The sequence below is a fragment of the Homo sapiens genome, chromosome 18 (assembly GCF_000001405.40).
Source record: "Homo sapiens chromosome 18, GRCh38.p14 Primary Assembly".
Lineage (NCBI taxonomy): Eukaryota > Metazoa > Chordata > Mammalia > Primates > Hominidae > Homo > Homo sapiens.
The window spans coordinates 33958950-33978771 of record NC_000018.10 but is presented as its reverse complement, the minus strand read 5'-3'; the positions used below and the strand labels follow the sequence as shown (position 1 = coordinate 33978771).

The window sequence follows — 19822 nt, the reverse complement described above, 5'->3', positions numbered from 1 at the left end:
TTAGATATTATAAGTACTAGAGATGATTTAAAGTCCAGAGGAAGATGTACATAGGTAGTATGCAAATACTATGCCATTTATATAAGGGACTTGAGTATTCACAGACTTTGGTATCAGCAGGGGTCCTGGAACCAGTCTCCCCTGGTACTGAGGGATGACATTATACATCTAAATTAATACTTAATAAACAAACCCAGAATATCTTGGGTGCTTGCTTTGTATCAATAACTCATGCAGTTATAATTCCTCAAGGAATTTCATAAGTTCTCAAGGAAGCTTAATTTCTTGTAACTAGGACAGATAAGAAAATAGTAATTTAGAAGATAAATCCTTCTTATGGAAGAGAAAAAGTATCATCAGTAGAGACCTGACTAATGGAATACTACACTCACTAGCTCTTTCTCTTGACACCCAAGTCTCTCCTTTGGCCAGAATTTGGCCATTTTTCCTATCCTACTCTACCTTCGCAAGACTCTTTGTCTGTACTGGTATATACTGGTATCAGTCACTTTGATATATGCATATGAAATTTCTAGAAAAGGTAGACATATATCTTTCAATAAATATTAATTTTGGAATAAGAAAATATAAAGAGAATATTCAACAGATAGATAGGTAAAGACCAGTTTGGCAGATAGCGGCCAACTGGTCACCAACCCAATATTCTCTTCCTCCTGAGCACACAGTTAAACAGCATTTCCAAATTTTCCTTGCCCATGTGACTGAGTTCTGGGCAATGGAAAATGCATGGAGAGAAAAATGCAGTTCCAGCACCAGCCCATAGCAACTTTCCATGCATGATTCTTCTTTCCTTCTCTACTGGCTGGATACAAAGGTCTCCAAGGCCTAGACTTCCACAGTGGGAAGGAGCCTAGGAAACCACATGTGAAGTCTTTTTCCAGTCAGGGAAAACATGTTAAACTTCATGAGAATGATAACCAGACTGTATTTAGTCACTGAGATTGGGGGGATTTTGTCTGTAACTGCAGCTAGCATTATACTGACCAATACATATATGAACATATAATTTAATTTAAGAATATATTTATATGTCACATGACGTCAACATAATAAATATCAAACCAGATATTATCTCAGTTAAACCTTGTATTCGATAACATAGTAGGTATGGATGGGTAGGCATTGAAGCTAGATGTATGAGTTCATTTTCATACTGCTGTGAAGAAATACCCTAGACTAGGTAATTTATAAAGAAAATGTGGTTTAATGTACTTACAGTTCCACATGGCTGGGAAGGCCTCACAATCATGGTGGAAGGCGAAAGAGGAACAAAGTCACATCTTACATGGCATAGTCAAGAGAACATATGCAGGGGAACTGTCCTGTATAAAACCATCAGATCTCATGAGACTTATTCACTATCATTAGAAAACCTTGGGAAAAACTCTCCCCCATGATTCAGTTGCCTCCCATTGGGTCCCTCCATGACACGTGGGGATTATGGTTGCTACAATTCAAGATGAGATTTGGGTGGGGACACAGCCAAATATCACTAGGCTATAGAGTTTAAATTGCAACTCCACTATTCACTCTCATTTTTCTCACTGCTAAAGTGAATGTAATAGTATCTACCTCATGGGATCTTTGTGAGAATGAACTCTGATATGTGTAAAGTACTAAGTACTGTTCTGGAATATAATAAGCACACTATAAGACCAAATTATCATTACTGTATATATTATTATTATTAATGAGGATGATGATGTTGCTATCATTTACTATTAGAGTTATTTTTAAAATAAGACAAATGAAACAAAACTATTCTATATGCAACCTAAGAGTAGTGCAAAAATAGATGCCAGGCTGGGCAATTCCATTGTTAAGCAGCAATTGTCTTTTAATGTCTAAAGCCTAGGCCAGTGAAATAAATATTTATATAAAACTACTTCCTTTTGAATAAAAATATTAATAGTGCCCTCAAATCAATACAATATTATAATTATTTGAATTGGTGGTGATGAAATTAATTACTGGGAGTTCAAATCACCTTCAAGGCTCACCTCTAACTCAAACTTAACTCTAAAAGGAGAAAAATGTAGTTCTATAAATATGAGATAACAGTATAGTAAAATCAGACTTACAGAAATTCATTAACAGTATGCATAACTTTTTTTCATCATCAAACATCAAAGTACTTTCCCAAAATCTAAATGATATTCACAATAGGCATCCTGAGATCTGATATTTTTACCTTCTACTATTTCAATTGTGGAAACTAAACTGAGGTATCAAAAGATGAAGTTTGCCATTTTGGGACTTCTACTTCAGAATGATAGGTAATAACTTTAATAATTGTGTTTGTAACTTGGAAAGGAGTTAAATCTAGGATTGACATTTTAAACTTAAATTGGTTAAAATATATGTAAACTCTCTCAAGAAATTCTTTTACAAGGAAGTATGTAATAGCTTCAAATAAAATGCATTGCTTTTGACATATGCCTTGTATTCCTAAATGAAATCTGCAGAATGGTGGAGCAATTTTTCTCTGACAGAAAACCTTCAATAACCATATAGCACACCAGGCTTGTGTGCTGTGAGACGGTCACAAGGATCAGTTGTTCTAAACCCATTTTATAAAGACAGCTTAGCCCCTCCCCAGCCCCTGACCTGTATTTCTCTTCTCTTCTGCCTTGAAATGTGTTTAGTGTCTAAGATTGTTATCTGTTCAGTGTTTAATTTCTCTGTGTGATTGTACTGCCTGTCTCTAAGGCCCTCCATCCTCAAAAAACTCTTTCTCATAAGATGATTTCCTGTCATTAATAAATCAAATTACATTCATCAGAATAAAAAGTTTTGTGTTCAGCAAAAATCCATGACAGCTGTGTTCTCAATGTCTTCCTTACTATTCAGAAGTTGTGTCCAACAGTGCCTTCTGCAAAGGACCACCATTAACTGAGAGAAAAGGGAGAGATGCTTGACATGAGGGCATTTTATTTCCATGTGTATTAATTTCTTCACCAATTGCCTTTTTAAAATTAATTTATTTACTTTTTTTACATCTGGGCTGGAGTGCAGTGGCGCCAACTCGGCTGACTGCAACCTCTGCCTCCTAGGTTCAAGCAATTCTCCTGCCTCAGCCTCCTGAGTAGCTGGGATTACAGGTACCCGCCACCATGCCTGGCTAATTTTTTTGTATTTTTAGTAGAGACAGGGTTTCACTATGTTGGCCAAGTCTGGTCTCAAACTCCTGACCTCGTGATCTGCCCGCCTTGGCCTCCCAAAGTGCTGGGATTACAGGCATGAGCCACTGCACCCGGCCTTTTAACAACCCCATTGTATTGTGAATAGTGAGCTCAGTCTTGTGAAAACAAATACATGAGAGTAGATCAGAGTAAAGGAAAAGAAGAAGATATTCCTTACCTTATAATTAGATTTCTTCTTTGTACAAATGGTAATTTTTAATGAAAATATTTTATTTCTGTTTTTATGGTGGTATAAAAAAGTCTCATAATTTTAGCATCTTAACTATTTTTAAGTGTACAGTTAACTACATTCACAATGTTGTGCGACAGATCTCCAGAACCTTTTCATCTTGCAGAATGGAAACACTATACCCATTAAACAAGAATTCCCCTTTGCTTCCTTCTCCCAGCCACTGGTAACTATCATTCTACTTTTTATATCTATGAGTTTGACTGGTCTAGATACCTCACGTAAGTGAAATTATCAGTATTTGCTTTTTTGTGAGGGTCTTATTTAACATAGTGTAATGAACTCAAGATTCATCCATGTTGCAGTGTGTGATAGGATTTCCTTACTTTTTAAGGCTGCATAGTATCCCATTGTATGTATATACCACATTTTATTTATTCATTCATCCAGCCATGGACAGTTGAATTGCTTTCACCTCTTGGATACTGTGAACAGTAAAGCCATGGATATGGGTATGCAAATATCTTTTGAGATCCTGCTTTCCATTCTTTTGGATACAGGCACACCTTGTTTCATTGTGCTTTGAGTTATTGTACTTCACAGATAGTGAATTTTTTTTTTGCAAATTTAAGTTTAGAGGAAACTGTGTCAAGCAAGTCTATTGGCACCATTCTTCTAATAGCATGTGCTCCCTTTGTGTCTCTGTGTTGCATTTTGGCGATTCTTGCAATGTAATAAACTTTTTCATTATTATTGTATCTGTTACTGTGATCTATGATCAGTGATCTTCAGTGTTAATATTGTAATTGTTTTTGATCACCACAAACTTCTCCCATATAAGATGATGAAATAAATAAATGTCGTGTGTATTCTGACTACTCCAATGACTGGCTGTTCCCCCATCTCTCTCCCTCTCCTTGAGCCTTCTGAAGAAAATTAAAAGTCCTCCTCCATTATTCATGAGCACATGAATAATAAGAAAGCAAAACAGCTTTATTGCTGATATGGAGAAGGTTTTAATAGTCTGGATAGAACATCAAACCAGCCACAATATTCCCTTAAGCCAAAGCCTATTCCAGAGCAAGTCCCTAAATTTCTTGAATTCTGTGAATGCTGGGAGAGGTGAGAAAGCTTCAAGAGAAAAGTTGGAAGCTAGTAGAGGTTGGTTCAGAAGGTTTAAGGAAAGAGGCCTTCACCAGAACATAAACATGCAAGGTAAAGCAACGAATGCTGATGTAGAAATTGCAGCAAGTTATCCAGAAGATCGAGTTAGTATTATTGATGATGGTGGCTATGCTAAACAACAGATTTTCAATGTAGACAAGATAGCCTTTTATTAGAAGAAGAAGCCATCTAGGACTTTTATAGTCAGAAAAGTTAATGCCTGGCTTCAAAGCTTCAAAGGACAAGCTAACTATCTTGTTAGGGGCTAATGTAGCTGGCGGCTTTAAGTGGAACCCAATGCTCATTTATCATTATGAAAATCCTACGGCCCTTAAGAATTTGCTAAATCTACACTGCCTGTGCTCTATAAATGGAACAGAGCCTAGATGACAGCCCATCTGTGTACAGCATGGTTTACTTAATATTTTGAGCCCACTATTGAGACTTACTGGTCAGAATAAAAGATTCGTTTCAAAATATTACTGCTCCCGCACAGTGCGCTTGGTCACCCAAGAGCTCTGATGGAGATACACAAGAAGATTAATGATGTTTTCAGGCCTGCTAACCAACATCCATTTTGCAGCTGACAGATCAAGGAGTAATTTTGACTTTCAAGTCTTATATTTCAGGAATACATTTCCCAAGGCTGTGGCTGCCATAGCTACTAATTGTTCTGCTTGATCAGAAAAAGGTAAATTGAAAACCTTCCGGAAAGAATACAGTATTCCATATACCGTTATAAACATTTGTGATTCATGGGAGAAGATCAAAATAGCAAAATTAACAGGAGTTTGGAAGAAGTTGATTCCAACCCTCATGAATGACTTTGAGATTCAAGCCTTCAGTAGAGGAAGTCATTGTAGACGTGTGGAAATAGCAAGAGAAGTAGAATCAGAACTGGAGCCTGAAGATGTGACTGAATTGCTGCAATCTTATGATAAAACTTGAACAGATGAGGAGTTGCTTCTTATGGATAATCAAAGAAAGTAGTTTCTTAAGATAGCATCTACTCCTGGTAAAGATCCTGTGAGCATTGTTGAAACAAACAAATAAACAAACAAAAAGATTTAGAATATTACATAAGCTTAAGCTTAATTGATTAAACAGCAGCAGAGTTTGAGAGGATTGACTCTTATTTTGAAAGAAATTCTACTCTGGGTAAAATGCTATCAAACAACCTCACATGTTACAGAGAAATCTTGAATGAAAGGAACAGTCAATGAATGTGGCCAACTTCATTGTTGTGTTATTTCAAGAAACTGTCACAGCCACCCTATGCTTCAGCAATCACCATGCTGATCGGTCAGCAACCATCAACATGGGGGCAAGACCTTCTTCCAGCAAAAAGATTATGACTTACTGAAGGGTCCAATGATTTTTGGCATTTTTTAGAAATAGAGTATTTTTAAATTAAGATATGTGCATTGCTTTATTTAGAACTAGTGCTATTGCACACTTAATAGACTACAGTATACTGTAAACATAGCTTTTGTATGCACTGGGAAACAAAAATATTTGTGTAAGTCACTTTATTATGGTATTCACTTTATTGCAGTGGTTGAAAACCCAACCTGCAATATCTCCAATGTATGCCTGTATATACCCAGAAGTGAGATTGCTGGAAAATATGGTAGTCCTATCTTTAATTTTTTGAGGAAGTGCTATACTGTTTTCTATGTTAGTTGCACGATTTTACAATCCCACCAATAGTGCGCAAGGGTTCCAACTTTTCCACAACATCCTCAACACTTTTTTAAAAATATATATATAGTTGCCATCCTAATGGGTGAGAGGTGGTAGCTTTTTATAGTTTTGGTGTGCATTTTTCGGATAATTAGTAAGGCTAAGCATCTTGTCATATGTTTCTTGGTCATCTTTAGAGAAATGTTGATTTAAATACTTTGCTCATTTTTTAATCAGGTTATTTGTTTTTTTTTATTGTTGAGTTGCAGGCATTTTTATACATTTACTTTTAGCTTTAAAAAATTGCAGCATACCATAAATGATTTAATCTTTGGACTAAATTTTTGTTTAAATTTTTTTTTTTTTTTGAGACAGAGTCTCACTCTATCTCCCATGCTGAAGTGCAGTGGCATGATCTCAGCTCACTGCAACCTCCACCTCCCGGGTTCAAGCCATTCTCCTGCCTCAACCTCCCGAGTAGCTGGGATTGCAGATGCCCACCACGCCCAGCTAATTTTTGTACTTTTTAGTTGAGATGGGGCTTCACCATGTTGGCCAGGCTGGTTTTGAACTTCTGACCTCAGATGATCCACCTGCCTTGGCCTCCCAAAGTGCTGGGATTACAGGTATGAGCCACTGTGATCAGCCTTAAAAAAGTATTTTTGGTTCAAATGTTAATTTACACATCAAAGAGTCTGATGTTTGTAGGATTCATAAATTTTAGCTGTAGACAACAGGCTTATTACAGCAGAAAAAAAAATATTTATATAAAGTAATCTCTGGAAGGGGTGGAGAATCAGGCTTGGAACCTTTGCAGGCAGGAACAGTGCCCCGGTTTACTTTGCAGAAGTTACCTGATGAAAGTACTTTAAGACTGAGCACTAGTAATTACCCCTAGAACTGTACATTTTCTCTTAGGTCTCCCAACATCACTTACAGTTCTAAAAATTAGAAATACTTCCTTTGTAAAATGCAGTTCACAAGAGTAAACTGAAAATATGACCCCTCTACAAAAATACATCACCTCAAAATTTCATTGTTATTGTAAACAGTTTCAAGTCTAGGATCTCTGAATAATGTCCTTTTTTTCTTCTCATTTGATCATTTTCCTATCTTGTAAAGGACAGATCCAACTGCAAAATTCTCATACACAGAACACTTTCTACAAAACAATGGAGGAAAAGAGAATGTTCACTGTCACTTCTGTATGCATTTGAGTTGCTGCTAATCATCCCAATATAGGAATAACTTCCAGAAATATTTCAACCAACAAACGTAACTGCATTATGCCACACAGGTGTTTGGGATTACAGATTCTGATATGAACATGTGCTATTATTCCTGGTATGAAAGTATAAGGGAAATGGAAACAGGAGAAACAAAAACTGAACTGTTTTCAGCCATAGTTTAGAATGAAAAACATTCTTTCACGTTCTTCCAATTATTATACATGTAAAATACAAAATGTAGGATTTGTATCTCACCGACACCTAGTCAAAATGAAAAGGTCTGTCCTTTGAAGAAATATTGAATAAGCACACCACCTTTTCCTTCTTTTATTGGAATCCCACACAAAAGACTTTATCTGAATTCTTGTGTTTGCATGACATAAACTCATAGCAGGCCCGAGAACACCTAACACTCTTTTCACACATTGTATGGATCTCACCTATCGAATTTCTCTCAGCATATTGTATCAAACATATAATTGTCCAGATGAGGCCTGGAAACTCCGAGAGAAATAACATACAAAGTTGCCACTGACACACACATACACATACACACACACACACACACACACACACAAATAGCTTGAAGAAGTAAGTTTTCCAGTAACGAAAGTTCTATATATAGATTTATCTAACATTCTGTATAAGTTATGAGGATAATGTGATCTGTATAAGTTATGAGAATAATGTGATCCTACAGTTTAAAACTTTTAATTTTTAAAGTATAGGCCTTATTATTTGAATTATAGGCCTTAATTTTATAATAATTTTGTGTATTTCTTCAGAATCATTGGTCATTCTACAATTCATACATAAAAGAAAGTAAGTATGTCACATGAAGCCAAAATAATGAAAGACTGGCATAAGCTTAAAAATGTCAGTATGTCAAAGATTCAACAAAACATTAATAAACAATTTTTTCAACCATATTTTATGGGAAAGATAAAAATAAAGTGTCAAACTGATGAGATACTGACCAGTTTATTTAAAAACCAAAGGTCATATATACTGTTTTGTTGTAAACTACAATATTTTCAACAAGACAAATATTACATATCTGGGTTTTTAGAATGGATAAATATATTAAGAACTCTCAAATATCATGAAGATTCCATGGAGCTCATAATGGCTATACTTATTTGAATTACATGTAAATCAAACAAAAACACTAAGAACTCAAAGTGTGTTCCTCAGACTTTCAGGAGCTGCATCACTTGGGCTCTCGCTAGAAATCAAAATTCTTGGACCCCACTGTAGACCTACTGAATGGGTCCAGTAACTTGTTTTACCAAGTCCTTTGGGCGATTTCAACGCATGACAAAATGAAAATAACACTGCTCTAGCCAGACAATATCTTGAAAAACAAGGCTTAAAATAATGTTCTCTATCATTTTGAAGTGCCTAAAAAATGTAGCTGAGGTTTAAAAATTATTAAGCGGAAGAGATTTTCATTGGCAGGTTATGATAAAAGGATTTATTTTTAAATGACAATTTCATGGGAATCTTCAAAGTAATTGTTAAATTTGATCTTTTTTTTTTTTTTTGGACAAGCACTGGAAAAATGTCAAAATGCAATGTCAAATGTGACTTATTTGTCCAAAATTGATTAAGAAGAATTAATGTAAATAATGGGAAAGCATATACAAAATGGTAAATGAGTAAACCAGATACCATATACCATCTATGGTTATACAAATGAATAATTGCAGATTCACATGCAGTTGTTAAGTAATAATAAAAAGATATCTTGTGTGCCCTTCACACAGTGGAATGTGACATTTAAACTGCAATTTCAATTTTGACCTTTTGGAAAAAGCTGAGAAATTACAGACTCCTAATTTGGAAATATATGAAGAAGCCTACATCATTTTGTTGTCTATTTATTTAATACAAGATTGAGAGCACATTCAGATAAAGTGCTAATGTAATATGAAAAAAATAAAGATGAAAAGTGAAATATAAAGAATATTTCTCTGATAATGAGAAGTGAGTTGCAATAAACTTCAGTCCATATCGAAGGTAATATTTCTTTAGGAGGAAGAAATAATAGAATTAATGAAGAGGAATGAATTATATTATCATATTGCGAGAAGATTTAAGTTGCATGTTGGATTTGACAAAAAATATTGATATCAATGAAGAAAACATAAGACTCATAAACGCTGCTTTAATGAAGGCATCAATCACTGCGCAGGGAAACTTAAAATGTCCTGAAATCTCATGGTTCAGACATGAAAGGAACTTGATTAAAGGTTTCCCCAAACTAAACATAATCTAACAGTTTGCATGATATTAGCAATAATTAATTTGAACAGTAAAAAACATAAACTGTCAAGAATAAAAGACATTTTCATTAGACAGAATAAAGACTGAATTATTTTTCTATTCTTTCAATAGAATATATTACTACATAACTGTTGTCGTATGAAGAAGCAGTCAAAGAGCATGCAGCCAAGAAAAATGGGAAAATGTCATTTATTTTTGCATTTGTGTTGCTTGTGGCACTTAGAAGATTTTTTTAAAAAATTAGATTCCCGGGGTACATGTGCAGGTTTGTTACATGGGCATATTGCATGATGCTAAAGTTTGGGGTATGATTGATCCCCTCACACAGGTAGTGAGCATAGTACCCAATAGGTAGTTTTTAAACCCTTTCCCCACTACCCTCCTTCCTCCTCTCTCTAGTAGTCTTCAAAGTTTGTTGTTCAAATCTTTATATTCATTTGTACCCAATGTTTATATTCCCTTATAAGTGTTGACATGTGCTATTTGGTTTTCTCTTTCTGTGTTAATTCCCTTAGGATAATGACCTACAGCTGCATCCATGTTGCAGCATGATTTCATTATTTTATGGTTATGTAGTAGTCCATGATGTATATGTACCATGTTTTCTTTATCCAGTCCACCACTGATGGGCACCTAAATTGATTCCATGTCTTTGCTATTGTGAATGGTCCTGTGATGAACATATAATTGCATGTGTCTTTTTGGTAAAATGATTTGATTTCCCTTGGGCTTGTATGCAGTAATGGGATTACTGGGTCAAATAGTAGTTCTGTTTTAAGCTCTTTGAGAAATCACCAAACTGCTTTCCACAGTGGCTGAACTCATTTACATTCCTATCAACAGTGTGTAAGCATTCTTTTTTCTCTACTGTCTCGTCAGAATCCGCTATTTTTTTATTTTAATTTTTATTTATTTATTTATTTATTTATTTGAGATGGAGTCTCACTCTGTCACCCAGGATGGAGTGCAGTGGCACGATCTCGGCTCACTGCAACCTCAGCCTTCCGGGTTCAAGCCATTCTTCTGCCTCAGCCCCCCAAGTAGCTGGGACTAGAGGTGCCCGCCACCACGCCTGGCTAATTTTTGTGTTTTTAGTAGAGACAGGGTTTCACCATATTGGCCAGGCTGGTCTCAAATTCCTAATCTTGTGATCCGCCTGCCTCGGCCCCCCAAGTGCTGGGATTACAGGCATGAGCCACCGTGCCCAGATTATTTTTTGACTTTTTAATAATAGCCATTCTGACTGGAGTGAGATGGTATCTTATTGTGGTTTTGATTTGCATTTTGCTAATAATTAATTATGATGAAGATTTTTTCATGTTAGCCACTTGTAAGTCTTCTTTAGAGAAATGTCTATTAATGTCCTTTGCCCACTTTTTAGTGGGGTTGTTTTTTGTTGGTTGAATTGGTTAAGTTACTTATAGACTCTGGATGTTAGAACTTTGTTGGATGAATAGTTTATGAACATTTTCTCCTATTCTGTAGGCTGTCTGTTTACTCTGCTAATTTGTTTTGCCGTGCAGAAGCTCTTTAGTTTATTTGGGTCCCACTTGTCAATTTTTGTTTTTGTTGCAGTTGCTTTTGAGGACTCAGTGATAAATTACTTGCCAAAGATGATGTCCACAAGAGTATCTCCTAGGTTGTCTTCTAGAATTTTTATAGTTTGAGATCTTACATTTAATCCACTTTGAGTTAATTTGTGTATGTGGTGATAGGTAGTGGTCCAGTTTCATTCTCCTGCATATGGGTAGCCAGTTATCCCAGCACCATTTATTGAATAGGATGTCTTTTCCCTATTGCTTGTGTTTGTCAATTTTGTTGAAGATTGGATGGTTGTAGGTGTGTGGCTTTATTTCTAGGCTCTCTATTCTGTTCCATTGGTCCATGTATCTGTTTCTGTACCAGTTTCATCCTGTTTTCGTTATCGTATCCTTGTAGTGTAGTTTGAAATCAGGTAGTGTGATGCCTCTGGCTTTGTTTTTTGCTTAGAATTGCTTTGGCTATTTGAGCTTTTTAAAATTCTATATGAATTTTAGAATAGATTTATCTAATTCTGTGAAAAATGTCATTGGAAATTTGATAGGAATAGCGTTGACTCTGTAGTTTGTTTGGGGAATTATGGTCATTTTAATGAGATTGATTCTTCCAATCCATGAGCATGGGATATTTTTCCATTTGCTTATGTCATCTCTGATTTCTTTAAGTAGTACTCTCTTTGTAGAGGTCTTTTACCTCATTGGTTGTATATATTCTAGAGTATTTCATTTTTGTGTGTGGCTATTTTAAATGAGATTGCATTCTTGATTTGGCTCTCAGCTTGAACATTATTGGTGTTTGCATTGTTGATTTGGTTCTCAGCTTGAACATTCTTGGTGTGTAAAAATGCTACTGATTTTTATATGTTGATTTTGTATCCTAAAACTTCACTGAAGTGGTTTATCAGTTCTAGGGTCCCTTTGCTGGAGACTTTAAGGTTTTCAAAATATAGAATAATATCATCTGCAAAGAGAGATGATTTGACTGCCTTTTCTATTTTGATGGCTTTTATTTCTTTCTTTTGTCTGATTGCTCTGGCTAGGACTTCCAGTACTATGTGGAACTGGAGTGATGAGAGTGAGCAACCTTATCTTGTTCCAGTTCTTAATGGAAATGCTTCCAGCTTTTGCCTAGTCAGTATGATTTTTGCTGTGGGCCTGTCATAGATGGCTGTTAATATTTTGAGGTATTTTATATATTTAGAAGCTTTCAAAAATTTTGTAATTTGTGGTTATTCTCCTCATCTTAAATAAATAGTAACTTTTTAATCTAATGTTTCAAAACAGCCCCCTCTCTAAATTTTATAACTTTCAGGCTTTACAAAATGTGGATTCATCCAATCATGTGAACCTAAAACAATGCTCTAAACATGAAGTAGTGCTTCTTAAATGTTGTTGAATAAGTTAATATAGAAATAGTCAAAACAGAGGGGATATAAAATCAATCACAACATTTATAAACTTAAATTTTATTTTGAAAATATAAAATATATTTTAAAATAGAGACTACAATGAACCAGTAGTACTCATCACCTAAACTGAACAGTGTTTAAGACTTTCCCACATTTTTTAACTTTTTAACTTTTTTTCTGTAGTATTTTAATTTCTCTTAAGAGACAGGGAGTATTAGTCCATTCTTATGCTGCTAATAAAGACGTACCCAAGACTGGGTAATTCATAAAGGAAAGAAGTTTAATTGACTCACAATTCAGCATGGCTGGGGAGGCTTCAGGAAACTTACAATCCTGGTGGAAATGGAAGAAAACACATCCTTCTTCACATGGCAGCAGTAAGGAGAAGTGCTGAGCAGAAGGGGAAAAGCCTCTTATAAAACCATCAGATTTCATGAAAACTCACTATCACAAGAACAGCATGAGGAAAACCTCCCCCATGGTTAAACTACCTCCCACTGGGTCTCTCCCATGATACATGCAGATTGTGGGAACTGCAATTCAAGATGAAATTTGGGTAGGGACACAGCCAAACCGTATCACAAGGTATTGCTCTGTTGCCCAGGCTGGAGTTCAGTGGCAGGATCATAGCTCACAGCAGCCTGGGATTCGTGGGCTCAAGCAATACTACTGCCTCACCCTCCCCAGTACACTTCTAGGGATGCATGCCACCATGCTTGTATAATTGTTTTTGGTTTTTGGTTGGTTTGTTTGTTTTTTAGGGATGGAGGTCTCACTATGTTGCCCAGGCTTGTCTTAAACTCCTAGCCTCAAGCAATCCTCCTGCTTTGACTTCCCAATGTTCTGGGATTATAGACATAACCTGACCTTCTATAGTATTTTAAAGCATATCTCAGGCATTCTTGTCGTATCATCTCCATATCTTAACTTGTATCTCTAACAAGTGTGGATATTTTGTTACATATTTACTTAACCAAATGTTAAGGTATTACATCTAACAAAAATTAATAATTCCATGTTACTATATATTTTCCTCATCTATAATAGAATATTTTTACTTTTCTCAAAAAATGTCTCTTGCTTTGGGTTTCTTTGAATCATAATACAAGCAAGGGTTACACATTTTATTTGATTATATCTCTTAAATCTCCTTTAATATATCTTATTTCTCTATCAGTAAATTGTTGCAAAACCAAGGTCAATTGCCCTGCCCAATGTCTCATATTTTGGATTTACCTGTGTGCTTTCTCTGGTGTGATTTAACTTCTCTCTCTGCCATTTTTCTTACAAATGGAATTTAGCTCCAGACAAGTGGTTCTCAAGCTTGACTGTGCCTCAGAATCTCATGGAGGTCATGTTAAAACACAGATTGCTGGGCCTACATCCAAAGTTGATCTTGGGAGGGAGCTGAGCCTTTGCATTTCTAGGAGGTTTCCAGGAGATGCTGATCCTGCTAGTGCAACCAGCACATTTTGAGAACCACTGTTTCTAGATTAAAGTTTGGGTTCAACTTCTCACTCTTTCTCTTCCTTCCTTCCTATCTTCCTTCCTTCCTTCCTTTCTTTTCTTTCTTTTCTGTCCTTTCTTTTCTTTCTTTTCTTTGTTTTCCTTTCTCTCTTTCTTTCTTTCTTTCTTGATGGTGAGTTTACTTCTTGAGTAGTGCCATGTGCTTCATATAATATCAGAAGACACACAGTGCTAGATCATTACACTTATAATGATACTGACATTGCTTGTAAACTCACTGATGAATAACTGATATTTTTTAAAGGAAATATAAGATAGTTTTTAAAATTGCAATTTAAAAAATTAAATCATCTTCAGTGTAACTCAAAAGTGTAATCAGTCACTCACTCAGAAAACGTTTACTTTATTCCTTCTATGTGTTTGGCATTGTGCAATGTTATAAAGATGAAAGGTGCCTATGTGACTCTCCCCTCAAGTAACTCTCAGACTGCATGGAATATGAACATATAAACTCGTTTGCATGATACCTTACGATCACTGCTGTGACATAGATATGCAAAGCACGTGAAAGCATAGACACCTGGCACTGAATTCATGTGTTCTTCCCTCATTTAGGACATAATGAGGAAACACAGGTTCGCCTTTTTTCCACTGGCTGCAAATATCAGACACAGCTCCCAACCGCAGCTGTGTCTAACACCAAGCACTGTGGTGTTGCTATCTGAGCCATCCTAGGCTCTGACTACAGATAAGCAAACAGGTCACGTTTCCTTCAAGTGGGAATTTTCAAGGCCTAATGCTGGCAGTTCTATTGGGATGGGAAAATTTGAGAAAAGGAAAGGTCAAATGTATTCTCAGAAGCCTCTTTGCTGAGGAAAGCCACGTTTTATCATGGGAGGAATAAGCAAAGTATATAGCTAAGGCAAAAATCTACCCTTATCCCCATAAGCCAACACCTGTGTTTTGAGGATAAGCATGTATCCATCTTCCATAGAGCCTAAATTGTGGTTCTTTAATAACTTTGGATCTTTATTTTAGTTCTGGTTTGGATTTTTTTAGGTTTATACTTGAAGTAAGAAAACAATTGCACCTGAAATGAAGGTTTCCTAGGCTATAGTCATCCAAAGTTCTTATTAAGGCAAGGCAGGCTTATGGGGCAAATGGCTGCCATATATTATATGGGTTATTTGGAGACCTATAGTAACTTGTATTCCCTGAGCCTATGATACCATTCCAATACTCACATTCCCCCATTTATGAAAACCAAATAGTTTTATAGAAAAAAGAGAAATTATAGTCAGTCTTGAATTGCAATCTGTAAAGCTCATGTCTTGGATTCTGTGAGGGATATGTGTTGGTTCTTATCTCAGACTAGTTTGAAGAAAAATGCAAATTAATATGGAAAGTAGAGAACAATTATAGTGTTTAAATCTGTGTCAAATTAAGTAACTTGGCTTCACAGTTTAGGGAAAGATTGAAGTAGACTAGGGTAGAAGCTGGAATCTTTGTGGAAAGTGAACTTAATTCGGCCTTAAATGATAGGTCCTAAATGGTAAGAGAGGCAAGAAATGATAATCCAGCTGAAAAGCAGAATTCAGTTATAAAAATTTCAGTTTGTTTTGTAGAGCAAAATAACATCAATCATCCTTGAGATTTAGATCCTGAATATTTTCAGATCTGCAAGATTGCACGTTCTTTAAAACTTGAGTAAACAGGGCTATACATTTTTTACTGTTCCAACTGGTTCTGTGTCCATCAAACAGCTGCATTGAATGAATTAGCCCAGAATATTTGCATTCAAATAACCATATTGTAACATTTTTAAATATTTCACATTGCCATTCAAAATATATTATGCTTATTACATTTTAGATTTAAAAAGATAGACTTTTCAAACCTATGGAATATTTTCCTTAATATATTTTATTAGCTAATTCCACCTTGTTAATGATGTGAACTGTAAAGATATTATGCTGATTTTTAAAATTTAACTTTACTGTTAATGTCAGAGATCTGTTCTAGTTTTATTATTCCTCCACTGACTATATAGTTATGATATGTTAGTATGATCCTTAAAGCATGCTACACATATGTTATCATTGCATGGAGGCAGTTTTGAACACTGTCAATTTAAATTTTCCCTTCATAAAGGTTATTCACTATCATTTTACTTTGTTGGTAGATTCGAGAATATCTCCTGCTGCTTACAAAGATAGTATTATTCATTTGGCTGGGGCCATCTATATATTTGAATGATCATGTGTGAAATCTATATTGTTAATCTGGCTTCTAATGATTGGTGGCTGTGCCACTCCAGATTCAATCTCAGGTGACTGAAACTCAAATTTAAGCAAAATTTAAAAGCATGTGGGTGGGTGGAGGATGTATGGTATTATACAACTTAAGGGTCCAGGGCTTAATTTCAGTAATAGTGAGATCTAGATGCACAAATGATGCTATCACGACTCTATGCTCCTTAGCTCTGCTGGATTCAGCTTGATTTGACTCAGGCCAGCCATCTCACGTAGAGGCAAAGATGCATGCTTAGCATAGAGAAGGTTGGTACCCAAGGGATTGGCAATTTTACCTGGTAGAGCGAGGGGCCATTTCTGAAAGAAAAAGGTGCTGGGCCAGCAAACAAGTAGGAGATACCATAACAGGCCCCGTGGTTGGTCTTGGACACAATTATAGAAGTTAATGAAAATTGTCTGGATTGGCATTCATCTTCCTTTACACACTTGCCTTTCTCCTTCTACTTTGGCAATCCACTGAGATTCCAAAACTCAACATTTTCATTTCTTTTGCTAACTCCCATGATCCTCCAATGCTGAAATCCTGTGTAGTGTTACCAGCCCAGTGATGAATGGATGGCCTCTACTTAACTTCTCTACCACTCTTCTCAGTGTCGGAGGTTATCTCATCAAGTTAAATTAACTGAGCCTTAATGAAGTCATTGATAATGTGAATAATATAATTACTACTCAGGGTTCTCCAGAGAAACAGAATCAATAAGATATATAATATATAGAATAAAGTATTGGCTCATGAGATTATGGAGACTGAGAAGTGCCATGATCTGCTATCTGCAAGCTGAATATCCAGGAAAGCCAGTGGTGGAGTTCAGTTCAAGTTTGAAGCCCTAAGAACCAGGGGACTCAGAATTCTCAGTAAGTCTCTTAGCTCAGCAGTCAGGCAGAATAGGCAAATTTTCCTTCCCTCTGCTTTGTATTCTATTCAGGCCCTCAAGACACTGGATTATGCCCTTAGGCCCTCCCCTCACCCACCCTACACACACACTGTGAAGAACAATCCGTTTTAGTGAATCCACCACTTCCACTGCCAATCTCATCCAGAAGTATCCTCACAGACACACCTGGAAATAATGGATAGCCAAATACCTGGACACCGTGTCATCCTGTCAAGTTGACACATAAAACTAACTGTCAGATATATTAATATCATTTATTATTATTATGTATATATTTGAAACCATTTATAATGTAATATATTAATATATTAATACTAGTTCTTCTGTGAAGTTATTATGTCAAGGTTAAAGCTCCATGTAAATTTTAAGATGCTTCATTAATACAAAACATTATTAAATAGGCTCCAGCCCATATAAAATACATATATTCTATTAGATTGGCTCAGGGGAAATTCATAGTTAGATGTTAAATAATGAAATGGGTTTAATATGTCTTGTCACAGAGGTACTTCTATTTTAAAAGTTGGTGTCAAGAAATACAGTGCCTTAGGAATTGATTTCTACTGATATTATAACAATAACCTCATAAGTAGTCATGCTATAGAGACAGCATAGAATAGTGTTAAGATGATAAACTCAGAGCCAAACTGCATGGGTTCAGATCCTTTTTCACTTGCTAGCTATGTGACATTGGGAAAATCACTTAACCAGTTCATTGTAAATGAGTCATATATTTAAAAGGCTTAGAATAGTGCCTGATGCATAATAGCTGCCCATAAATACTTTGTTGAATGAAAATTGCTCTGTGGCAGAGTATCTTGGCACAAAACCAAATGTGTAGTGATACTTAATGTAAAGGTTTGCTGAGGGAAGAAATGATTGACTTTGAGATAGATACTTGGAGTTGGAGCAGGAGATTTTAGAAATTACTACTAACCATGTTGGTCTTAAAAGTTGTATGTTATTGCTGTTTATTAAGAGTTTATTCTCTTAAATATATATTTTTCCTAAAATAAATATATTCCAGAATATGTTTAGTCCTAAGTTGAAAAAAGAAAGCTTGTCACTATTTCCTTCTATAGATGTTTTGTATTTAAGAAACTGTAATTATCTGCATTTGATTACAATAGTGTATCTTTATTCTACTTTATCCAGCAAAACAAATAAGCAAAACTGTGTATGAAGCACTAATAAATTATTTAAATAGATTCTATTATATGTGGAAATTTTATAGCAAGTGATAATTCTTCTTACTCAAGATTTATAAATTGCAGCTTACTGTTCTATAAGAAAATGTAAATAATGTATCCAATTTATTTAGGTGGAATAGCAGTTTTAGGGGAAATCACTTATAAAATATTTTGTTTAAAGATTAACATGTACATAAACCAATGCATATTTTATGTTCTTTCAATTATACACACATGTGCATACACGCACACACACACACACACACACTTAGAAAGAAAAACTTCATATCGAGGAGAAAACCTTATGTGATCACTCTTAGCTCTTAGGCAGACCTAGGTTCACACAGTAGTTATATAATCTCATTCTTTAGATAAGAAGAGGTTGTTTAGATGTTCTAAAGCTGTTTCCTTATCTGTAGAATCTGGAGGATAATCCTTTCTCACCAGGTTGCTATGAAGCTTAAGGGAACCAATTGACTAGGTATGCAGTTGTTCTAAGTACTAATTTCTTCTCTTTACCTCTCACTTGCTTCATTATTTGCTTTATTGTATGTGATGTCTCAAAAAATATCTTTTATATCATGAAACAGAAATAAATAGAGAATACTCATTTTTAAATTTGATTACATCTTAGTTTAGTATCTTATCAAAACTACCTAGAATATGCTAAGAAGATTGATCAATGTTATGGTCTCAAAGAGTATATAAAATAGTTTGTGGTTATGCTGTACATGGCTGATTCAAGCTCCTTATCACACCATATACTTGGATTTTCTGTATTTCCAGGTCACTCTTCCAAACTTACTCTGGAATAATCCTAGAGGGTCCCAAGAGAAAATATTTGGAATAAGTGTAATCCCAAAATGAAAAGTGATCAAAGCCAGTTTATTTATTTTAAACAGCCCCATTAACATGTAGATATACTTATGCATTGTATTCTGACAACGGAGGCTCTACGAAGGCTATCTATCAGCTGTTTCATGTGAAAATGAACTGTTAAACATTTTCAATTTTTCAGATGTTTAATTATTTTTACATGGAAATATGTGTCACTATTATTTAATTGTTCTTGCTTTAAATTTGTTGTGTCTTTTGAATGGTGTTAGAATCCAGAAACATTAAACTTAACAGAGGATTAGGAAGAAACCCGGTTCCCATTTTCTAAACCCAAATCAGATGACCTCTTAAGACTCATAGACAATTAATACATTTATTTTAAAGCATGTTAACTAATAACTAATAGTCAATAATATTT

General features: G+C 35.3%; 1 protein-coding gene across 31 annotated transcripts in view; it reads left to right on the top strand.

Annotated features, from left to right (window-relative positions):
- The window catches only part of NOL4 (nucleolar protein 4), a 373814-nt gene that overhangs the window by 246142 nt on the left and 107850 nt on the right, over positions 1–19822 (top strand). The gene's annotated exons all lie outside the window — the stretch shown is intronic.